General features: G+C 41.9%; 2 annotated features.

Moving 5' to 3' along the window:
- Nucleotides 99-158: an enhancer, noted in NCBI's record as "active region_8393". NCBI's record gives its function as "activates an Ori minimal core promoter by ATAC-STARR-seq in GM12878 lymphoblastoid cells {active_cell/tissue: GM12878}" and the evidence as "EXISTENCE:reporter gene assay evidence [ECO:0000049][PMID:35858748]".
- Nucleotides 179-288: an enhancer, noted in NCBI's record as "active region_8392". NCBI's record gives its function as "activates an Ori minimal core promoter by ATAC-STARR-seq in GM12878 lymphoblastoid cells {active_cell/tissue: GM12878}" and the evidence as "EXISTENCE:reporter gene assay evidence [ECO:0000049][PMID:35858748]".

Genomic DNA, 9573 nt, shown 5'->3' with positions numbered 1-9573 from the left:
GCCGGCATACACTGAAAGAGGCCTCCACCTATACCGTTTCTTGCAAGCCGAGATAGGTAAAGCAGGACTCAGTTATCCCGGTCTTCCCCTGAGAGGCCTCAGTATTAAGTCACTGCTGTCCCGGAAGTATAAAAGGCTCTGTAATAAACTGAGATGGAAGTGAAGTAGGAAATGTGTAATACCTCAAAGGAGTTCCGATGGCCTGTCGACACAACACAGATGGCCTTTGTTATAACACAGTACTGTCCAAGACCTCCACGTGCTGGAGAAGTAGACAGTTTTATTCATCCATTCAGTCAGTGAATGAGGTATTAAAGGTAGATCTGCTTATCATTTGATAGGAAATAATAATAAAAAAAACTTCAGAGTTTAACAAATACTGTGAAGGAATTAAAACACGGTGAGAAGTATGGTGGGAAGAATTAATCTAGAACAGATATCTGAGATGAGAAGGAGCCAGCCTTGCAACAACTGAAGAAAACCTAAACAAACAGTGCAAGTCCTGGAGTGGAGTGGGGTGGGGGTTGTGGGTAGAAAGCTTGACTCACTTCCAGGAACAGAAAGGAGGCCAATGAGACCAGTAGGGGGTGGGTTGTAGAGATGTGGGGTACAAGATAAAGATGCTGAAGTAGGCTGAGGCAGGAACTTTGAAGTCTGATAGAACCTTCAGATTTATGTATTTATTTATTTACTTTTGAGATGGAGTCTTGCTCCTGCCGCACAGGCTGGAGCGGTGACGCGATCTCAGCTCACTGCAACCTCCACCTCCCGGGTTCAAGCAATTCTCCTTCCTCAGCCTCCGGAGTAGCTGGCATTACAGGTGTGCGCCACCACAACCGGCTAATTTTTGTATTTTTAGTAGAGACGGGGTTTCGCCATGTTGGCCATGCTGGTCTCGAACTGCTGACTTCAGGTGATCCACCCTCCTCAGCCTCCCAAAGTGCTAGGATTACAGGTGTGAGGCACTGCGCCCGGCCAGATTTTTTTTTTTTTTTTTTTTTTTTTGAGTCTGTGTCTCACTCTGTCACCCAGGCTGCAGTGTAGTGGTGCGATCTTGGCTCACTGCAACCTCTGCCTCCCGGGTTCAAGCGATTGTCGTGCCTCACCCTCCTGAGAAGCTGGGATTACAGGCGCCCGCCACCACGCCCGGCTCATTTTTGTATTTTCAGTAGGAATGGGGTTTCACCATGTTGGCCAGGCTGGTCTCCAACTACTGACCTCAAGTGATCCGCCCGCCTCAGCCTCCCAAAGTGTTGGGATTACAGGCGTGAGCCACGACGCCTGGCCAACTTTCAGATTTTTGTGATTTGGGGAAAATTACATACTCCCTCAATATCTCTGTAAAATGATCATAATAATTGCACTTATCTAATGGGGTTGTCATGAGTATTAAATAGGATAATGTGCCTAAACACAACATCTGCCACATGGCATGTACTCAATAGTGTTCTTTTGAATAGATATTTATTTTAAGGGTAGTAATGACTCCAATTTTTGCATTACAGGTCCTCATTGCTATACCTCTTGCTATCATTGTTCCTGGGGACAATTAATTGTTGTCCAAAAAACATGAGTAAAATTCTCCAAATAGATTCCATTTGGTCTCACCTTATCCAATGGCCATGAATGTTTGAGTTTAAATATATACATCCTAAATATACAAATAAAGTACAAATTTTTGTAAATTAATGACCCAAAGTCACATAAAGGATGCCTTCAAATTTATTAGGAACAATTCTCATGGGTATTGTGTGAATATTCCATTCTATTTTTCTTTTTTTTTTTTTTTTTTTTTTTTTTTTTTGAGTTGGAGTCTTGCTCTGTCGCCAGGCTGGAGTGCAGTGGCGCGATCTCGGCTCACTGCAACCTCCACCTCCCGGGTTCAAGTGATTCTCCTGCCTCAGCCTCCCGAACAGCTGGGATTACAGGCGCACACCACCACGCCCAGCTAATTTTTGTATTTTTAGTAGAGACAGGGTTTCACCATGTTGGTCAGGCTGGTCTCGATCTCCTGACCTCGTGATCCGCCCGCCTCGGCCTCCCAAAGTGCTGGGATTACAGGCATGAGCCACCGCGTTCGGCCAATTTTTCTAAATGTGACTGGGTTCTTGCAGTATACAATGAACAAGGAAGCTGTATGGGGCAGGGATAGTCCCTTCTCCCACTCAGTTGCAACTACTCTGGTCAAACTAGTCCATCCATACCAAAACATGTCACCTCTGACATCAAGAAGTAAAGAAGAGAGGACAAGGCAGAGAAAGAAAGCTCAGTATGGCTCAATTTAAAATATTTATGAGCACATACTGATAGGTTATTTTAACATTAATCACATCAATATTTTAAAGTCCCTTAACCCTTGTTCTTTTTCTTTTACCCATCTGGCAGCATTTCAACTTCAGAAGAATCTTCTATTTTCCCCATGCCTACACTAGCCCTGTTACTTTTTTGTTTGTTTGTTTGTTTTTTGTTTTGAGCAGGAGTCTCGCTCTGTCGCCCAGGCTGGAGTGCAGTGGTGCGATCTCGGCTTGCTGCAACCTCCGCCTCCCGGGATCAAGGGATTCTCCTGCTTCAGCTTCCAGAGTAGCTGGGACTACAGGTATGCGCCACCACACCCGACTAATTTTTGTATTTTTGGTAGAGATGGGGTTTCACCATGTTGGTCAGGCTGGTCTTAAATTCCTGAGCTCAGGTGATCCACCCGCCTTAGCCTCCCAAAGTGCTGGGATTACAGGTGTGAGCCACCGCGCCTGGCCGTTACGTTTTTATACATGCCTATAAGACTGTATTCCTCTCCATCTGAAAACGTAGCTCAACTTGTAATTATATATTCTTAAACGTGATTAAATGTTTAGAGTCTTTTCTCTGCAGTGGACTGTAACCCCTCGGAAAACAAGGACTATGACTATTTATTTCCCCTGATTGGATCCCCAGTGTCTAGCACAGTGTCTGAAATAAAAGAGATATATGTATATTGAATGAATGAATATCTCAGGCACTAAGATAGGTAAGCAGAGTTATAAAGAGGCTAAGAAATGTGACCAGTACTCAAGGAACTTAAAATATCATAAAGTGAAAACAGAAAAATACAAATGTGACCAAAAAATGAAAATTAGAACATATAGGGTGGAAGAGATAAAAGAAGGTAGGGCATATCTTAGTTTATTTCGGAGTCATTAAAAGTGATGTCATAACAAACGGTAATGAGATTGATGTAGACCTTCAAAAATCATGTAAGGATAGTTTCTCAATCTATTTTCCTATAACTTGGCACAGATGAGTGTGGTCATTTTAAAATATGTACACAAATTATTTGACACTTTCCACTTCAAGAGGTGGAGCATAATTCCCCTTCCTTGGACCTAGTGACTTGCTCTTGATAAATAAAGTGGAAGTGACAGTGCGCAACGATGGAGACTAGATCACAAAAAGTGTTGAGCCTTCCTTTTGACTCTCGCTTGGATAACTCCCTGTGGGAGAGCCAGTTGTCATGGCATGAGGACACATCAACAGATCTATGGAGAGACCTACATAGCAAGGAACAGCCATCCAGGAACTTAAGGCCTCCTGCCAACAGCCATATGAGTGAGCAGTTCCTGGCAGAGATCCTCCGGCTCTAGGCAAGCCTTTATTACTGCAGCCCTAGTATTGATTGCAACACCATGAGAGACTGAGTCACACAACTCAGTTCAGCTGCTCCTGAATTGCTGGTCCCTAAAAACCATGAGATGATAAATGTTTGTTGTTTGAAGCCACTTAGTTTTGGGGTAATTTGTTACACAGTGATCGATAACAAATACAACAAGAACAGATTTATTTTTAAGAGAAAAATTGGGAAACAGTGTCAAATAGGCAAGTAGCAACTACTTTTGCTCCCACATTGGCCACAACACTTAAGTTTTTAGAAATTTTTCATCCCAAATGTCTACTTCCAAATACCTATGAAAATGCACTTAAATTAGGCCAGGCGCAGTGGCTCACACCTATAATCCTAGCACTTTGGGAGGCTGAGGCGGGTGGATCACAAGGTCAGGAGATCAAGACCATCCTGGCTAACGTGGTGAAACCCCGTCTCTACTAAAAAATACAAAAAAATTAGCCGGGTGTGATAGCGGGCGCCTGTAGTCCCAGCTACTCTGGAGGCTGAGGCAGGAGAATGGCGTGAACCCAGGAGGTGGAGGTTGCAGTGAGCCGAGTTTGCGCAACTGCACTCCAGCCTGGGCGACAGAGTGAAACTCTATCTCAAAAAAAAAAAAAAAAAAAAGAAAAGAAAAGAAAAAAAGAAAGAAAATGCACTTAAATTAATGTGTCTGTGTCTAAGCAGTGAGATGTTGAGGTAGGAATAGAAGTTAGAGTTCAGGCCGGGCATGGTGGCTCATGCCTGTAATCCCAGCACTTTGGGAGGCCGAGGCAGGTGGATCATTTGAGGTCAGGAGTTCAAGACCAGTCTGACCAACATGGTGAAACCCCGTCTCTACTAAAAATACAAAAAAATTAGCCAGAAGTGGTGGCACATGCCTGTAATCCCAGCTACTCAGGAGGCTGAGGTAGGATAATTGCTTGAACCTGGGAGACAGAGGTTGCAGTCTCTGGAGCCAAGATCTTGCCACTATACTCCAGCCTGGGAGACACTGCAAGATTCCAACTCAAATAATAATAAAAATAAAATAAAAAAATAAATGAAGAAGTTAGAGTTTCTAGGCTTCTGGGGTGTGCTTTTAATAAAGTAATACCATAAAGAGAGCTTTTAAAAAAAGTACTAAAGATTAAATTGAAAAAGAGGTGCCTATTGTCTCACTTTTCTCTAATCCCGAGTTCCACTCCCTTAATTTTTAAATGTGTTTCTACTATACTTACCTTTGTATTTCTAAATAATATCCTTATGCTGCTATTTCTTGATATATAAATTTTGGGATTTATCTTCTGACCAAATTAGGAAGATAAAGATTTAGCACCCTTACTCCAGACTCCCACTTTTCCTACTTGCATCCTCCATGAATGCAATATATGTAAATTTTGGTTAAATTGCTATCCAATATTTGTGTCATTGTGGGGCTATGTATGTCAAGCAGTATACTATTTGCTTTATTAAAAAATTTTTTTTTGGCCGGGCACGGTGGCTCACACCTGTAATCCCAGCACTTCGGGAGGCTGAGGCAGGCGGATCACGAGGTCAGGAGATTGAGACCATCCTGGCTAACACGGTGAAACCCCATCTCTACTAAAAATACAAAAAATTAGCCGGGTGTGGTGGCAGGCGCCTGTAGTCCCAGCTACTCGGGAGGCTGAGGCAGGAGAATGGCATGAACCCAGGAGGCGTAGCTTACAGTGAGCCGAGATCACGCCACTGCACTCCAACCTGGGTGACAGAGCGAGACTCTGTCTCAAAAAAAAAAAAAACACATTTTTTTTTTGAGACAGAGTCTTGCTCTTGTTGTCCAGGCTGGAGTGCAGGAAATCGAATTGAAGGAGAGAGGAATCAGCATTGTCAGAATGCAGCAGAGATTTCATGAAAATTGGTCATTGGGTTGGGCAATAGGAAGGCCATGTAAAGAGGAGTTTCAGGGGAGTAGAGCTGGAAACCAGACTGCATCATGGGTTAAAATGTGAGTGGGAAGTTGAGGAGTGAATGATAAGTGAAGTCAGTGACTGCATACAGCTTGCTTTCAGGAATTTGAGGTAAAGAAGGTGAAGATGTTACGTGTCATGTCTTCCCCCTTCAGATGATTCTAAGCACCTTGAGACAAATGTCTAGTAATGTACCACGTGTGCAACCATATTCAGTAAATATTAATGACAGGAATGATTCTAATAAAAATATCAGCACTAAACCCATTAGGTTTTTACTTAGCCTTTCTTTGTACTAATTTATTTCCTTTAAATTGTTTTCTTCCAGTCTATTCAATGACAGAAATTGTATGGGTACTGAGAAGCTTCCCACAGAAATCCCCACATACCATTTTGAGACACTGGACTCAAGCCATTTCCTGCTTTGGTCATAAAAAAAAAAATAGTCGCTGTTATTTACACAGTAATCAGAATTCCATCAGGAAATGCTGTGTGCATTAAATCTAAGTCATGTTATTGTTATAATCACTAGTATTAGAAAAACAAGTTTGTGACCTTGTTCATCTCTAAAAAATTTAATGTTGTTTAGCAAAGTTGTAATGAATGGGAAGTTGGGCTTTCAGAAATCAAAGGTTGATCTATGTACCCTGTGGGTGCTCTTTAAATAGTTAATGAATGACTAATCAGTGATTTCATGGCCTCTAACACAGGTGAGACGATTGCCTGAGCAGGTATATTTGAAGAAGCAAACTCATGCAAAGGGAGTTTCCTTCTGGCCTGAAAGATTCTCATGGACACTTCAGTGATATTCACATCACACACATAAAACTGTATTTACTTATTCTAAAATCGCTTACAAATCTGAAACAAAACATTATAATTATCTAGACAATAAGGTAAAAAAAGTGGATACTTTTTCTAAGTTTGCTAGAAATTTATTCTGGGAAAGAGTTTGAGTTTTATGGAAAATAATTTCTATCATGAGAACACTGACATTTTTAAGCTCCCCCAGGTTACAGGTCATTGCATTAGGGTAAAATGTTAAGCTGATTCATATTCAGATTGCTTCCTTCTAAAATCATAGGCTTTATTAATTTCCTCTTTTCTTATTGTGTTTCTCATTTTTGATGGCCTAATCTTCATTTATTAGTACTGTGGCCAGTGAAAGATTTTCATTTATTCCACGAACATGTACAAAGACAAGATCCTTGTTAAGGATCTCTGGGAGTCTCAGGGACATTTGAAACACAATCCCTGCTCAAGAAGTTTAAAGATGTTACAATTCAGTGAAGAAATATGAAGTAGAAAATATCATAAAAGATTATATACTAATGCTGAAATGAACATGGGAGTGCAGATATTTCTTTGACATACAAATTTTATTTTTATTTTTAAGACAGAGTCTCGCTCTGTCACCCAGGCTGGAGTACAATGGCATGATCTCAGCTCACTGCAACCTCCGCCTCCCAGGTTCTAGAAATTCTCTCACCTCAGCCTCCCGTGTAGCTGAGACTACAGGCACACACCACCATGCCTGGCTAATTTTTTGTATTTTTAGTGTAGACGGGGTTTCACCATGTTGGTCCGGCTGGTCTTGAACTCCTGACCTCAAATGATCTGCCCGCCTCAGCTTCCCAAAGTGCTGGGTCAGGCGTGAGCCACCATGCCCAGTCTGACACGCCAATTTTAATACCTTTGTATATACACCCAGAAGTGGGATTGCTGGATCATATGGTAATTCTATTTTTAGTTGTGTGTGTGTTTTTTTTTTGTCTGCTTTGTTTTGTGAGATGGAGTCTCGCTCTGTTGCCCAGGCTGGAGTGCAGTGGCGCGATCTCGGTTCACTGTAACCTCTGTCTTCCAGGTGCAAGCAATTCTCCTGCCTTAGCCTCCAGAGTAGCTGGGACTACAGGCACGTGCTGCCACGCCCAGCTAATTTTTGTATTTTTAGTAGGGACGGGGTTTCACCGTGTTAGCCAGGATGGTCTCCATCTCCTGGCCTCATGATCTGCCTGCCTCGGCCTCCCAAAGTGCTGGGATTACAGGTGTGAGCCACCGTGCCCGGCCTATTTTTAGTTTTTTGAGGAACCTCCATACTATTTTTCAAAATGGCTGTACTAATTTACATTCCCACCAACAGTGTACAAGTGTTTCCATTTTTCCACATCCTTTCCAGCACCTGTTATCATTCATCATTTTGGCAATAGCCATTCTAACAGGTGTAAGGTGACATCTCATTGTGTCTTTAATTTGCATTTCCCTGATGATTAGAGATATTAAGCATTTTTTTCCTATACCTGTTGGCTATTTGTATGTCTTTTTTTGAAAAATAACTGTTCAGAACCTTTGCTGCTTTTTAAAAATCAGACTATTTTCATAACATTGATTTGTTTCTTATACTCCCATGTTCATTTCTGCATTATTTACAATAGCCAAGATATAGGAACAACCTAAGTGTTCATCGACAGATGAATGGATAAAGAGAATCTTGTATATATATGCCTACTATACAGCCATAAAGAAGGAAATTATTCCCAGTACTTTGGGAGGCCGAGGCGGGCGGATCACGAGGTCAGGAGATCGAGACCATCCTGGCTAACATGGTGAAATCCCGTGTCTACTAAAAATACAAAAAAATTAGCCGGGAGTGGTGGCGGGCGCGCCTGTAGTCCCAGCTACTTGGGAGGCTGAGGCAGGAGAATGGCGTGAACCCGGGAGGCGGAGCTTGCAGTGAGCGAGATCGTGCCACTGCACTCCAGGCTGGGTGACAGAGCGAGACTCCGTCTCAAAAAAAAAAAAAAAAAGGAAATTCTGTAATTTGTGACAATATGGATTAACCTAGAGGCCATGATACCAAGTGAAATAAGCCAGGCACAAGAAAACAATTACCACATAATCTCACTTACATGTGGAATCTAAAAAAGTTTATCTCATAGAAACAGTAGAAAGGTAGTCACCAGAGGCCGGTGGGCAGGGAGGATGGGGAAAGGGGAGATGTTGGTCAAAGTGCAAAGTTTCAGTTAGACTGCAGGAATAAGTTTTAGTGATCTAATGCACTGCATGGTGACCACAGTTAATAAGAATTGCAAAATTGCTAAAAGAATAATTTTTTAATGTTCTCATCAATGAAAAATGAAAAGTTGGTGAGGCAATGTATCTGTTAATAAGCTTTATTTAATCTTTCTACAATGTATGCATAGATCAAAACATCCCATTGTATCCTATAAATATACACAATTATTATTTGTCAATTAAATATTTTTTAAAAAGTACATACTAAGTTCCATGGATGTCTCTCCAAGTGTAGGAACTGGACCTTATACATCTTTGTATCCCAAATGTCAAGCTCAGCTTGTCACAGAGTAAGTTTACTGAATTGAAATCATTGAGAGACTGGAACTGGGTTAGGAGGAAACCAGGAAGACGACTTAAGACAGGGAGAACATGACCTGGGTCTGGCCCTAAAAAGGATAACTGGGGCCTGTATATAGGAATATGAAAAAGAGCTTTTGGCCAGGTGCGGTGGCTCACGCCTGTAATCTCAGCACTTTGGGAGTCCAAGGCAGGCGAATCACGAGGTCAGGAGGTTGAGACCATCCTGGCTAACATGGTGAAACCCTGTCTCTACTAAAAATGCAAACAACTTAGCTGGGCGTAGTGGCACGCGCCTGTAGTCCCAGCTGCTCAGGAGGCTGAGGCAGGAGAATCACTTGAACCCAGGAGCTGGATTTGCAGTGAGCCAAGATTGCGCCACTGCACTCCAGCCTGGCGACAGAGTGAGAATCTATCTCAAAAAAAAAAAAAAAAAGAAAAAGAAAAAAAAAAAAAAAAGCTTTCAGGTTAGGAGGGAGATTGTATTAATATGTACATGTGACATGTTGTAGATACTAGAATTAGAGCTTCTCAGGTCCATCAGGATCTCAGATGGGTTGTTGACTTTTACTACATGTCTACTTGGCAGTGATAGGCAGAGCTCTAGGGTTTGCAGTAAAATACATGAGTTTAAGT

The sequence above is a fragment of the Homo sapiens genome, chromosome 14 (genome assembly GCF_000001405.40).
Source record: "Homo sapiens chromosome 14, GRCh38.p14 Primary Assembly".
Taxonomy (NCBI): Eukaryota; Metazoa; Chordata; class Mammalia; order Primates; family Hominidae; genus Homo; species Homo sapiens.
This window is presented reverse-complemented; position numbering and strand designations above follow the sequence as displayed.